General features: G+C 42.9%; 1 annotated feature.

The window, feature by feature from the left end:
- Positions 14,897 to 15,191: an enhancer, noted in NCBI's record as "tiled region #2746; HepG2 Activating DNase matched - State 5:Enh". NCBI's record gives its function as "activates a minimal TATA promoter and a strong SV40 promoter by Sharpr-MPRA in HepG2 cells {active_cell/tissue: HepG2}" and the evidence as "EXISTENCE:reporter gene assay evidence [ECO:0000049][PMID:27701403]".

Consider the following 15,523-nt stretch of genomic DNA (forward strand, 5'->3'; position numbering starts at 1 on the left):
ATATTTTCTGGGTTTTTTTTTCTCAGTAAATTTCTCTATCTCCAAATTTTAATCATTGAACTAGGGCAACCTGCTGGTTTATGTTGCTTAAAGGCTGATTAAAACGATTTGATTCTATGAAGTTACCAGTAGATTTTAAAAGGAAAAAACTGCAAAAAAACTAGTCTTTCTAATTTCTGGTCCTCAGGCCCTTTGGAGATCTTATTTCAGTTCTCCTTTGAGGAGTGACTATCCTTTAAGGAGGGAATACAGGATATGCATAAGGAAAGGAGGAGACTGCATGGAGAATCTTTCCATTCACTGGGAATTTTTTCTCTGGTTTGAGGAGAGGAGGAGGAGGAGGGCCTCCTGCCCTTCTCTGATTTTTCTCTCCTACAATAGCATTAGAGGAACTTTCATCATTTCTAGTACCTCTGTCTACTCTCTTGACAGCTGCCCCCTAAGAGAAGGAGGCAAGCTCCTGTAACTGACCAGAGCCTGGAATGATCATCAGACTGTGTTTTACTGGCGGGTGGAGCTGGCGCACCCCTTCACTTTCTGCATCGGCACACACAGACCTCTTCCCAAAGGAAGCCTTCTCTCTGTACCTGATTCTCTGCCCATTACTGGGTTTGTCATGCAACCTGGCCATCCCTACCCATGAAGCTGGTTGGGTAAGTGGACTTAGAGATGGCACTGCATGGCCAGGCAGTCTAGACTTGAGGAACAGAGAAAAGGTGGCCACATTTTCTTCAGATCTAAGGCTCTGATCTATTATCCAGCTTTTATCCAAAAACACCTTCATTTGGGGGTTTTATAGTACTGGCAAATCATCGTGAAAGCTCGTACTTTGTTCTTCATTTGACTGCTGTTCCTTATATACAACTTGGCCAGGAACCCATGGGGTAGCAGGGATGAGTGGGAGGATTTACTGTCATCCTGACCAGCCTTTAAATCTGGACATCTGCTACATGGCTGGCATTGTGTGGGTGCTGAATACACAAGAAAGACACTGCCCTTGCCCTTGAGGGGCTCATAGCCTGTGGGAGGAGGCAGAAATGTAAGCAAATAAGTGTGACAATAGGTACAATATGGTGTGATAAATACTATAATACAACAATGTACAAAGTGCCAGGAGAGCACAGAGAAGGAGAAAACTCATTCAGCTGCAACAGAGGGATTGGAAAAGAGCCTGGGAAGACTTCAAAGAGGAAGTGACATTTAAGCTCCATCTTAAAGATTAAACAAGAGAGAAGCAAGACCAGGAGATTCCAAGCAGAAGAGACAGTATGTGCAAAAAAAAAAAAAGGAGGGGGAGAGGCAGAGCTCTGTGCGCACTTTATAGGAGGGTAAGGCATAGACTACTGGGGTCGTAGTGATTTTCTTATTTTATTAATCTGTATAAGCTCTTTATAAATTGAAGCAGTCATTCCTTTGTATATTGGTGTTGTTAATCAGAGACTTTATCTGCAGTAGTGTATGGAGGAGGTTACAGTGGGGAAAGCCTGGAGAGAAGGCTGTTGGTCCTCTCGGAAGCAATGTAGAACCGGAGCAGGTAGGGAACAAGGGTGCATGCCAAGTGAAGGGGCAAGAGTGGACGTCAAACCAGAAGGAGAATCTGCTGCATCCTAGTGGAGTGTTCTTTGTTCTACCTCACACAGGGTGCAGCCTAGAAGGGGCCTCAGGCAATGAAAGGATTGGCTGCCTGTGGAGTTTTTAGGGGAGAGATATGGACATTTCGAAAATAAATATCTCCTTCATCATTTCCATAAAGCCCTACTCTTCTGGTGGAATTCCACTTACTCAAATTTCAGTTGAGAAAGCCCTTGGTAATGAGAAAATTAGTTAATGTTTTATTATGTGCTGGACCATTAACAAGGGCTTCATGAAGAAGATGAGATTGAATTTGGTCTTGAAGAAGGTAGGATTTGGGTGCATGGGGAAGAGATGAGCACAGCAATCCCAAGAAAAGATTCCTTCATGCTTCTACTAACCACTGTCTTGGCTTAGCACCCTTTCTTAGATAAGTTGTTTTTGGTTTCAAATTAACAAAAATCAAGTGAGTCTAGCTCAGTGAAAAGAGGAGGAAGTGTGGGAGAGATAATGGGTGTCTCACAAACTGTCACCTCAGTTCCAACCACTTGCAAAGACTCTGCTCAAGGTCTCCCTCTTTCAATCCTAGTTCTCAGAAACAGATCTGATTGGCCCACCTGGAGTCACAGGTTCAATCCCAGCCAGTCAACTCTTGCTTAAGGTCTGCATCTCATGGAATCAACCTTGCTGCTTGGGGCAAAAAAAAAAAAAAAAAAAAAGTCAGCATAAGCAAATTCACTGTAACCAAATTCAGTTCTTTCAGGAGGAGAGAGAATACATCCTTGAGGTTCCTTCTGTCCTGGAGCTAAAGATGCAGCTGAAACCTATGACCAATTAGAAACCTTAATTTGGCGTGCAAAATAGAGTTGCCAGAATCAGCAAATAAAAATACCAGATGCCCCATAAAATTTGAATACTTAACCTACAAGCGCTTAGTAAAAGTATGCTCTATGCAATATTCGAGACATACTAAAAAATTCTTCATTGTTTATATGAAATTAAAATTTAATTGGGCATCCTGCATTTTATCTGCCAGCCCTAGTGGAAAGGCCATACTTTTGCAGGACTCTGAATTCTTGACATTTCCAAAATAATAATCATAACTCTGGGAATGTAAATGCCTGAGACAGATGTAGGGGTTTGCAATATGCCAAATTGAGGACACCGAGAGTGAAGCTGGCACCCTGAGAGGGAGAGGTGGATCTGCATAATTATCAGTGAATTAAATTGCTTTGTTGCAGAGAGTCAGCTTATTAAATATGCATTTCAATTTTGGAGTGGTTGGCTGAAGAATTTGAGTATCAACAGATGGGAAATCCCTTGCTGCAGCCATGACCTTTACCTGTCATGCTGGTTCACAGGACCACATGCAAGAAGACATGATTATTATTCTCCCAAGTGTCATTCTCCGGAGGCTTTGGACAGGGAGCATGAGGCTCCCATTGGGCAGGCTGGGCTGGGAATGTGGCAAGCCACATGGCTACCTAGATGGGCACATGGCCTTGTTGGCTTATGCTAATCTTCTCATATGACTTGGCTCTTCCCTCTCTGTGAAAACAACACTGTTCTTAGTGTTTAACAAACTTGAGTCCTGGTCCTGCCGCTGTCTCTCTCAAGCTTTATGAGCTGGAGCAAATCATAAAACCTCTCTGAGCCTCAGTTTCCTCAGTTGTTAATTGGGGATAATATTACCCATCTAACAAGGTCATTGGGTAGAGTCAATGGCTCCCTGCCTATGTAATTGTACCAGTCCCTCAAACTTGCCCTAGTCTCTCTCCTCCTATTGTCTGTGTTCCCAAGGTGAGCCATTTTAATAGTGTCCTCCTAACTACATTAAAAGGCATGCTTTGTTAAGCTCTAACTGTAGAGATTTATTATTCCACTGTCTCCAACTCTGAGCCACCCAGCTTGCTGGCATCAAATCATAAAACTGATCCATGTTAGCCAGCCCCAGCAGGGCTCTCCCTGAGCTCGATCATCCTTTTACTCTTTTCCAACAGGACCATAGCTCAGAGCTTTTTATGGCTAAAACACAATGTGAGGTTTTGTTTGCACATTGCACACATGACCAGGAAGAGGAATAGGTTCATGGGATCTTGCCCTGGAAGCCTTATCTAATCCCTAAGAAGAGAAGTGCTTCAAGAGAAGATGAGAAGACTGCCTTGATGAGGGATTTTCTGAGGCATGGGGGCCCTCATAGCACTGCTTTGGAGCCTAGGTGACAAAGTGTGACTAAGTGTGTGATAGACACTAAGATACACCAGGATCCAGTTCCCAGTCCCCTTGCACTTGAGTGAGTGAGATGCTGTGTGTCATTCCCATACACTTAATTGACCATACAAACCCCTCCAAAATCCTCTTTCCCAGAGAATATCTACAGAGAGGCTAAGCGTTCCAGATGGTGCTGTTCCAGACCAGTGGAGGCTCTGTGACCCTGGCTTGCAAAGTTGTTGCTGAGTTACACGGGATCCACAGCAGGCGTTGCAATCCACACACAGATGTAGGTCTGAAAGTGTCATCAGACTAAAGTTTCCAAAACACACAGTTTACCATTATTATATCCATTGTGCTCTAAGGTTTTCTATTTTATTTCATTTTGCTTTTTTTTATATTCAGGTCAACTCCACTCATAGATTTCATGATATGTGCTGGGACTTCAGACTCCCACTCTACGACTCCCACTCTGCTACTCTCTCTAACAGCACTGACCTGCATTCTGCTGGTCACCCTCTGTAATTTCAGGTCAGTTTATGTTCAATTGTTCAGTGTCCGCTTGTCCATTAGGCTGTGATCTCCACGAGGGCAAGGACCAGGTCTGTGTTGTTTGCTCCTCAGACCCAGCACTGACACTAAATGAGCCCTCCTAAAACCTTGATTGACAGGTTAAAATATATACATCAATGATATTGCTGCAGTGTCTATGAATGTATTAGTTAGGGTTCTCCAGAAAAACAAGAGAGCGAGAGAGAGAGGAGATTGCAAGGAATTGACCTATGTGACTATGTAAGCTGAAAAATCCCAAGATCTGCAGCTGATAAGCCAGAGATCCAAAAGAGCCGATGATGTAAGTTCCAGTCCAAGGGCAGGAGAAGATCGAAGTCACAGCTCAAGCAGTCAGGAAGGAGGAATTCTTTCTTACCTAGGGGAGGGTCAGCCTTTTTGTTCCACTCAGGCTTTTAACTGATTGGATGAGGCCCGCCCACATTAGGGAGGATGACCTGCTTTACTCAGTCTACCAATGTAAATGTTAAGTTCCTCCAAAACCACCGTCACAGACACACCAAGGATAATGTTTAAACAAATATCTGGGCACCCTGTGACCCAGTCAAGTTGACCATTAACCATCACAGTGGACAATGTTAAACTTTCTATTATGGACGTATCCTGCGTTAGGAAGAATTATGGGCCACTAAATAGCCACATCCTACTCCCTGGGCCTTATAAATATGTTACTTTTTATGGCAAAAGAGACTTTGTAGATTGGATTAAGTTAAGGACATTGAGATGGAGACATTATCCTGAATTTTTTGGGTGAGCCCAGTGAAATTATATAAATTCTTAAAAGCTAGAGAACCCTTTCTGAGCTGTGATCAGAGGAACTGTGACTATGGAAGAATGGACAATGAAAAGCAATGTGGCTGGCTCTGAAGATGGAGGAATGCCACTGAGCCAAAGAATGTAGGCAGCCTCTGGAAGCTAGAAAAGGCATGACAACAGCAACAGAAGATTCTCCCCAGAGCCTCCACAAAGGAGGCCCTGTCAACACCTCGATTTTATCCCAGCAAGACCATATCAGGCTTCTACGGAACTATAATATATTAAATCTGTGTTACCATTAAGCTTGTGGAAACTGCTTATGGTAGTGATAGAAAATAATACATATTTATAAGTCTAAATGGTAGCCAATAAATACTGACCATTTTCTGGGTACTTCTCTAAGGGTTCTGCATGTTTTAACTCATTTGATCCATACAACTCTATGAGGGCAATGATACTATTATCTTAATTTTACAGATGAGGAAACTGAGGCACAGAAAGTCTTCATAACTTGTAAGAGTTCAGTAAATGGCAAATCCAGACTTTAAACCAAGACAGTCAAGCTCAGAAACCTAGTGCCTCACCACAGGCTGTGCCTCTGTTCTTACAGTGCTCGGAATGGATGAAACAATGGCAGTGAAAGCCAGCTGTGTTCTTTGGCAGGTTTTTCATTTGAATCCAAAGTATTATTTATATTTTACATTATAAATAATGTTTTATATTATATATTACTATTATTATTACTGGAGTGGGAGCAAGGCATAAGTACAGAGTAGGAAATTATGACTTCTGAGCACTCTTTTTAAGTCAGCTACTTCTTTTTTTTTTTTTTTTCTGAGACAGAGTCTCACTCTTGCCCCCCAGGCTGCTATCTCATCAAGTTCCTCATCCCAGACCCATGATGTCTAAGTCCTTGGCCTGTCTTTAGCCATATCTTTGATGTCTCCTTTCAATAATTTTCCATCCACTGGCCCTGCACGCTGCTCCTTGCTATAAATCCTCATTTGTCCTTCCTGTATTCACAGTTGAGCCCCATCTTTCTCCCCTATTGCAATAGTCTTGAATAAAGTCTTCCTTACTGTTTTAACAAGGGGACAAAATAATTTTTTTCCTTAACAGTTAATTTATATCAACTGGGCTTTTTTTTCTTTTTTCTTTTTTGGAATGAGGAGGCCCAGACCCCACCTAAGACCAATAGAATCAGAATCTTGGGGATAGTTCTAATGTGGACCCAGGGTTGAGAGCCACTGGCCCAGACATTTGGCATAAATCTCCTTTGTGATGGAGAATCTGAGAGCTGGGCTGACTTTCAGACTGGACGACCCTGTAAATTCTTACCAACTAGGTTGGCCTTCATTCCTTCCCTATTATCAGTGTAGTAGTCCATTTTCATTCTGCTGATGAAGACATACCCAAGACTGGTTAAGTTATAAGAAAAAGAGGTTTCATGGAATCGCAGTTCCACATGGCTGGGGAGGCCTCACAATCATGGCAGAAGGTGAAAAGCACAGCTTACATGGCCACAGGCAAGAGAGAGAATGAAAGCCAAGCGAAAGGAACTTCCCATTATAAAAGCACCAGATCTCATAAGACTTATTCCCTACCATGAGAACAGTATGGGGGAATCTGACACCATGATTGAATCTCCCACCGAGTCCCTCCCACAACACGTGGGAATTACGAGAGCTACAGTTTAAGGTGAGATTTGGATGGGGACACAGCCAAACCATAGTTATCAGCCTATCCCCACTTGAAACAGGCTCCTTCACCCAGCTACAACAGGCTGCATCTCCTGAAATGCACCATGCTCTGTGTTTCCTTCATACATTTGCTCACACCACCTCCTTTCCCTAGAATGACTGCTCCATGCTCCCTACCACATGGGAAAAAATTACTTCTAATTAAGACCTCAGTTCAAGCACCCCTTTCTCTAGGTTGTCTGCCCCAATTCTTTCCAAGGATACAATGATCTCTTTCTCCTTCTGTCCCCACTGCCTCATCAATAAGACACCATCACATCATCCTCCATATCACACCTGAGACATCGATTGCCCCTGTGTTCAAACCTGACTTTGTATAGAGCAAACCACAGCATAGCTGAGTTAACTAAAACCAGAAACACAGCTCCCCACCAGACAACCTGGCTAAGGGCATGGTAGGACTTAATATTTATGTGAATGGATTTTCAAAAATCACTCATCTAAAATTAATACCAACAACATGAGAAGATAATAACAAAAGCTTTCATCAGATGAAATGAAGCTTATTATTTCTGCCAGGAAACTGCAAACTTGGGTAAAGCTCTATATTGAACACATAAATTGTTGTTGATATCATCAAATATTAGGAATCCTACAACATGGAGCATTAGGTTTAGAGTCCAAAAAACCTGAACTATAAATGAACTCCGCAGTTTTCTAAATGCATAACTTTGTGAAAGATAATCTCTCTGAGCCTCAGTTTTCTCATCTATAAAATGGGGATTATAACACTTCACTCACTTCCTCCAATAGGTTGTTTTAATCATTAAATAAAATAACTCATAACAAAGCATATTTTATTTAACTCCAAAGCCCTCTACAAATGTAAGAAAGACTTTTAATATTTTTCCTAATTACTCATGTTTTTCTTTTTCTTAATTAGTATCAACAGTTTTACATTCATATGAAACAGATTGAGATGTCCATTCAGGAATAATTAAGAAGAAAGGTTTATTTTAGAAGGACTGTAGGATGTTGTTAGAGGAAGAGCATTTTTTTTCTTTTCTTTCTTTTTTTTCTTTTTAAGGAAAAAATATGCAAATTGCTTTTTCTTGCTAAGGTTCTTCCATACAAACTGTAATAAAAATATCTTGCACCTAAACAATAGTTATATTTAAATTATAAATAATAACTAAGAGGAAAGAATAACTAAAGAGAGTAAGCAAGGGAACTAATGTGTTTGATTCTCTTACTTCCTTGTTCATCATCTCTCTGGGTATAAGGCAATCTTTTCTTTTCAACAAACAAGGGATGCGTGTTCACATACATGCAGTGCATATGTAGATGCATGTGAATGTTTATATGAGTGCTTTTTTCTTCTAGTCTTTGCTTGATTGGTTGGTTTGTCTGGGGTGGAAGTAAATTTTATTTTTGACAATGTAGTACATGCATAAAGCCTAGAAAGACTGTCAGTACTACAAGAACTCTGCTTCACAATTCTCTCTGAAGTTAGACTAGGGGCTCCAGGGGACATAGACTGGTTCCAGATGACAATTCTAGAATTCACAGAGCTAGCAAGGGAGATAGCTACCTTTTTTTGAAGTATTCTTGAGCAGAAAGGAGTTTTAAAGATCATCTTTTCCAACCCTGTGTATTTCCTCATTTTATAGATAAGGAAATAAAAAATGACCAGAGAGGAAGAGTGACTTACCTAAGATCACACAACTATTATTTTTACAAGCCTTTCCTAAGCATCTACCATATGCAAGACAATATTCTATTGAGGTGGCTCCAAGAAAAATAAAGCACAGTCTCAGCCAGGCACCATGGTTCATGCCTGTAATCCCAGGACTTTGGGAGGCTGAGGCAGGTGGATCACCTGAGGTCAGGAGTTCGAAACCAGCCTGGCCAACAAGGTGAAAACCCTACTCTACTAAAAATACAAAAACTTAGCTGGGCATGGTGGCAGGCACTTTCAATTTCAGCTACTCAGGAGGCTGAGGCAGGAGAATCACTTGAACCTGGGAGGTGATGGTTGCAGTAAGCTGAGATCACGCCATTGCACTCCAGCCTGGGCAACAAGAGAGAAACTCTGTCAAAAAAAAAAAAAAAAAAACCTCTGTACTCAAAGAGTTGTTAGTCTAATAAAGCAGCATGTAAGTGTCCTATGACACAAGGCAGGATAAAATCAGAGCTAAAAAGAAGTGCTTAAGAACCCTGAAAGAACTGAAAATAATTTCTGATTGGGAAACTAGAAAGAGTTTCACAAAGAACTAGCTTCTGAGCTGGGTATTAAGGATAGAAGGATCCAGGTCATGTAGTTCTATACACGTAGCTCCTATACTGGGATATTTTTCATTGTCACCCGCTGTCTCAGGGTACCCCTCTTGGAAAACCACAGCAAAATACCAGCCCCAAAAAAGATTAGGGCACAAAAGGAAACTGAGAAGAAATACAAGTGGGAAAGGACAAGTAGAAAGCAGTCGCCTTGAGAATGAAAGGGAACATCCTTAGAAGAAAACACAGCGCACCTGCTTGTATATAGCATCAATTAAAATGCAAAAAGCAAATCAAAGAGTGAGTATTCCCTGATCATGCTACAAAGTTAAAACAAGTCAGTAGGATTATTCAACAGATGATTATTGGTGCACTAACCTTCTTACATGTACAAAATATAGACTAGATCCATACTTCACTTGGAGCAAGGCAGGGGAGATTAGATAAGAGAAGAAAGAAAAGCAATTTTAAACCAGAGTCCCAAATGTATAGAGGCTAGAATAAATGCCACTGTGCAGACTGGAAATGCTAAGCCTCATCACAGGAAGCCAGGTCAGTGCAGAAACAGTAGTCTGAGAAATTAACCAACATGGATGTCATCACCCTAAGTGATTATTAAAGACATGGGGTGGTGAGACGACACAGCAAGAGAGTGCAGGGTGAGAGAGGAGCTTGAGCCAATATTCTGGAAAATTCCAACCTTTCAAGGACAGGGTGTAGCAATGAAGAGTCAGTGGTAACTTGAGTGATTACAATTTCATGGTGCAATGGGAGTGCAGGGCAGGACACAGTGGGTTGAGGTAGGTGCAAAACAAGGAATTATCCTTAAACCTGTACTCCAGCTACTTCTATAGAAGGCAGAAGCTATTCTACTGTCTTGCAAGCAAGAGTGCAGAATGATTAGATGCTGGGGCACATACTACACAGCAGGACAATGGAAGCTCCCTCCACCCAAAGGGGAAAATCTCTCAGACAGCTCTTGAAAAATGTTTCATCCCAAGCTATAGAACTTCACTGCAAGCTTCATTCCCCACTCCATTCCCAACCACACACCCAGAAATAAAACATTTGATTAGGAGACCAAATATCCCAGTTTACACCTGTTGTCCTAGCATAATAATTGATGGCTGGTGTCATCCCCTTCTACTCCCAAAAGTATCCCAGTTTGGAAAGTAGACTAGTGGTTGCCAAGAGTTAGGAATGGTGGGGGAAGAGTGGGTAGACATGACCATAAAGGGCTAGGTAGCAAGAGGGAGATCATTGCCTAAGTGATGGAATAATTCTGTATCTAGATTACATAAATCTGCACATGTGATCGATGACATAGAACAATGCACACACATTGTTCCCATGTCAGTTTTCCGGTTTTGATGTTGTACCCTAGGTATGTCAAATGTAATCACTGGGGGAAACTGGGTGAATGGTACATGTATCTTCTTTGTACTATCTTTGCAACTCCTGTGAATCTATAATTATTTAAAGGGCTTATTTTAAAAAAAGAAAAAACAGCTCCAGCAGCATTCACTGAGTGCTGGATCAGGACTTTGCAGACCTAAGGAGATTTGTGCAGCCAGTATTTGCTTGGATCCGTACAGTTGCTAATAGAAACATAGATTGCTGTTGCTGTAGACATGATGTTGGGGAAGACCCTGTTCTTTGAAGTTTGGAATTACAAGACAGAGAGGCCAAGAATTCTCTGTAACTCTTTTATTAGCTCTGATGCAAGAAAGAAACTGTTCCGGCATGAAGCAGCAGGGAGAGATGTAGCATGTGGAAATGGATCAGTGCATGCCTCAGAACCAGCTCAAAGACAGCAAAGGAGATCAGGAAGGAGGACAAAGACATCCCCTGTCTATCAGTTTCATCAATGTTCAGGAAAGGAGAGAATTAGAAGCAAACACCAAGCCCACATCATAGTACAGCTATAAACACAATTAGCTTATTCTATATGGTGACTCTTGTCATTCTCAACCACTCAGTTTATTTTCTCTTTAGTGTCGCAAGTTAAAATAATCTTATCAGGTATCTTTAATAACCACGGTTTTATTGAATGTTACGTATCTACACCATTCATGTGTCATTTCACTTCAATCCTCACATGAACTTACAAAGTGTATATCATTATCCTCATTTTTCATATGAGAAAACTGAGATCCAGACAGGTTAAGTAACTTACCCAATGTCACACGGACAATAAGGGGTAAGACCAGGATGCAAGCCCAAATCACTCCAATGCCAAACCTGTGTCATTCCACCACGCTATGCTGCCTCTTGTGGGATGAGACAGTCAAGGGTAGCCAAAGTGACAGGGTCACCTGAGCGGGGTGGAACCACCTGATGACTACACTCACAGTCCCATTGGTAAGGTGGGCAGAGAATGGCATCTGAGTATTCCCTGTGTTCCATCCACCCCTGGTGTTGGAGAAGCAAGGAGTCTCTCAGTTTCTTCCACCTTTCCCTCTCTTCCTTGAAGGTCTGAGTGAAGAAGAGAGGAATCCTGCCATCCACACCTGGAGCCATGTGCTGAGCCCCTTTTTCAGAGAGCTCCTTCAGGTCCTATGGATCTAATGCACCCCCAACCACCCCACTCCCACCTGCACCAACTCGCCTGTGGATGCAGGAGCATTAGGCACTGTATTAGTCCATTTTCACACTACTGATGCAGATATCCCCAAGACTGGGCAATTTACAAAAGAAAGAGGTTTAATTGGACTAACAGTTCCATGTGGCTGGGGAAGCCTCACAATTGTGGCTGAAGGCAAGGAGGAGCAATTCACGTCTTACGTGGATGGCAGCAGGCAAAAAGAGAGAGCTTATGCAGGGAGACTGCCATTTTTAAAACCATCAGATCTCGTGAGACTCATTCACTGTCAGAGAACAACATGGGAAAGATCCACCCCCATGATTCAATCATCTCCCACTGGGTCCCTCCCACAACACGTGGGGATTATGGGAGCTACAACGAGATTTGGTTGGGGACACAGAGCCAAACCTTTTCAGGTGCCATAAGTTAAACTGAGACCCTCAAGGGATGGCCAATGTCCTCAGCAACTATTGAACACACAATAGAACAAGAGAAACCCAACTGCGAAGTCTCTTTCTCACATCCTTTAGGTGGATGGCATCTGCCTTGCATTAGAGAAGAGAATAAAGAACTTTCCTGGCCCGAGAACATCTCCAGCAAAGGATGCAGCTGGGAAAAGCCTGCTAAACCCACTCTCACAGCAAAATTTGAGGTCAATGGGCCAAGTTATTAGATCAGAAATTATGAAGCCAAGAAAGCGAGGAAAAGCAGCAGCAATGTGGCTGACATCTCCACTAAGAGGCTGGACAAATAGTGCCAAGAATTTTGTCCTCTGTTCACAGGACTCTGACAGGCAAGTGACATATCTTCGGATCAGATCAGCGGAGTGGCAAGGTGAAGTTAAGCAGGTCAGAGGCCTCTCAGTCTCCCTTCTCAGACACAGTTACAGAAGAAAGAGAGGGACTATGAACAGTTAACGGCCTCATAAGATGTGCATAGAAACTAGCAACTGTGATTCATTCAAGTTTACACTGCAGGCCCTGAGATAAGTACTTGAAACATATTTATCTCACTGGATTGTCACAACAGCCATATAGGTCAGTATAATTATCATCTCCATTTTACAGGTGAGGAAACTGAGGATGAGAGAGACCAAACAATTTGCCTAAGATTTCATTGATATAAGCAATGCAAGCACAATTTGAACCCAGGCAAACTAAATTCCTGAACCCACACTTATAACTACCCTTATTCTGTTTCCCACACAGTTAACGATGGGAAGGGATGGGGGTTGGCGTGGGCAGAACTAGACTCTAGGTCTGTCCAGCTGTAAAACTCTGGCCTACTCAAAACACTGTATACCCATGGTTTCTTGGAGTGACACAAACACACACACACGTGTGCAAAATAGCATGCAGGCAATGAGCATGTACCCCATCTCTGCCTCCAACATACTTCCATCTTGCTTTAATGTCTACCTTTTGTGTGTGTGTCTTTACAATGTCTTCTTTGAGGCTGCATGTCCAGGAATCAGAAAAACCCAGAGTTGGGGTCTCAGGGCTTCCTCCATGTGACTTTATATGAGAAGAATCGCTGGCTGTGGAATGTGAGACACACAGCCCATCTAAGCCACCAGGTAGTACCCCATGAATTCTGGGGCAGGGTCACCCCCAGAATGGGTAAGTGTTCACGGAGGGATCTAAGTCCAGCCAGACCTGGGACTTGCCCTGGCCTCCCCACCCCACCCCACTGCCACACACACATCTTTGCAGCTGTATGGTACTGGGAAAGTTACAGTCACAGTACTCAAGACCAAAAATTTGCCAGGTTTTCCAGTCAGATACCTAGCAAGTTTTGAAAAATCTGGACTCTGAACAAGTGAGGCAAAGCATCACTGAAATAAAAGCCGCAGGTATTATTTGTAAAAAAATAAAACTCCTAGAAGAGCAGCCGTGGGGTAAGTAAAGTATGGATGACCCGAAGGGGAGAGGAATAGAGAAAGAAACTGATGGGAGAAGAGAAGCCCCAGGTGCATGAGCCACGCACTCCCAGAAGCAGAACTGGGGCACCCCAGGTATGACAAAAACAACCTAAAGGAGAACCAGCCAGGAACACAAAACCTGCCCAAAGTGGCACCTGGGAGCAGGACTTTATGGGGTTCCACCTTCCTAGCCTCACCTTAGGGCCCTGTGCAAAGGCTTCTTATACAGGCAGAGAGGTTGTTCATCTCAAACATTAGTCTCATGGGTGCAGTGTCATTGGGGCCAACTCCTGCACACCTCTTCAGCAGCCCAGGAGTCAGAGGCCACGTGGGTCACATTACAGGTGGGCAGTGGTGAGACATTCAAGGATCACACTCCTCCTTGTCGTAGAGCCCCAGAGGGGAGCTTTGGCCCAGGTTAAGGCCCCAGTGACTTCATCAGTGGATCTGAACTGGGTAGTATCAAGTTGTTAATAATAATAATAAACAAGACTCATTAAGAGCTTAGTATGTACCAGTTACTGCTCTAAACACTTGCATGTAATAACTCATTTAATCCACATACAAGATCGAGATGATGTAATCATATTTATCATGTTGTGAATATTAAAAGAGATGACACACAGTGTGTGATTTTGCTTTTTGTGAAATTGATGATAAGGATGATCACGGTAGTGGTGCTAGTAATGGTGGTGGCAGTGGCGATGATGGCAGTAACGAAGGTGATAGTGATGGTAACATGCATTATAGTGTAGTGAGTAAAGATATTGATTTGGAGTTACACCAAGACCTGGTTCAAATCCCAGCTCTACCACTTAGTCATTGTGTGACCTTAAGCAATTCAATTCTTTGAGTCTCAGTTTCCTTAACAGTAAGATAATAATATGTCTCTCATGGTATTCTTGGGAAGAGAAAATGCATGTCAATGCATGTCTTAGCACAGTACCTGGTACTTCATACGCTAGTGGCTGCTGTGGAGAGAGGACAGTGGCAACAATGCCTGCAGCAACAATGGCAACGATGTCAGAGCTTCTCCACAGTGGAAGGGGAGTTCCTGATCACACTCTACACAGCCCTTCCAGCAGAGACAACCTGAGGAGCCTCCTCTCTGGGGGAATGTTTTTTTGTTTGTGTGTGTTTGTTTGTTTGTTTGTTTGTTTTGTTTTGAGACGGAGTTTCGCTCTTGTTGCCCAGGCTGGAGTGCAGCGGCACGATCTCAGCTCACTGCAACCTCTGCCTCCTGGGTTCAAGAGGTTCTCCTGTCTCAGCCTCCCGAGTAGCTGGGACTACAGGTGCCCGCCACCATGCCCGGCTAATTGGGAGAATGTTTTTCACAAGCCACGTTTAGTCCCAAGTACACAAGAAGGCCTTCCATGCCGTTGCAGGCGCCACTCACTTAACCATTAACCAAGCTGGCCCTGGCCACACTGGGAAACCGACAAAGGTTATCTCTGGCATTATTGCATCACCTTCTCACCCCTTGCCCTGGCTTCCTGGGACCTTACACCAACCCCTAGTCTGCTGGGACTAGAGTCCCAGCCTTACCACATCTCCTTCTCCTTCCCAGAGCATTGCTTTTATCCTTCTGTGTCCAGTCAGCATTTGCCATTTGGGGTTCTATGGCCTTGAAGTTAATAATAATAATAGCTAACATATTAATATAATAGCTAATGTATATTGTGTGCTTACATTGATAGGTTTATGTAATCCTCACAACCACTCTATAAGTTGAGTGAAGGTATTAGCCTCATTTTACAGGTGAAGATGCTGAGGCTCAGAAATGGTAAGTAACTTTTCTTCGTCACACAGCTTATAAATTGCAGAACTGATACCTGACTTGAGATGTGTTTGATTTTGGAGCCCAGGTTCATTCTACCATATGATGCTGCCTGCCTTAAGCAAAGGCTTAACCCACAGGACTGAGAGTATTGA

This window comes from Homo sapiens, chromosome 8 (assembly GCF_000001405.40).
Source record: "Homo sapiens chromosome 8, GRCh38.p14 Primary Assembly".
In the NCBI taxonomy this organism is placed as follows: domain Eukaryota; kingdom Metazoa; phylum Chordata; class Mammalia; order Primates; family Hominidae; genus Homo; species Homo sapiens.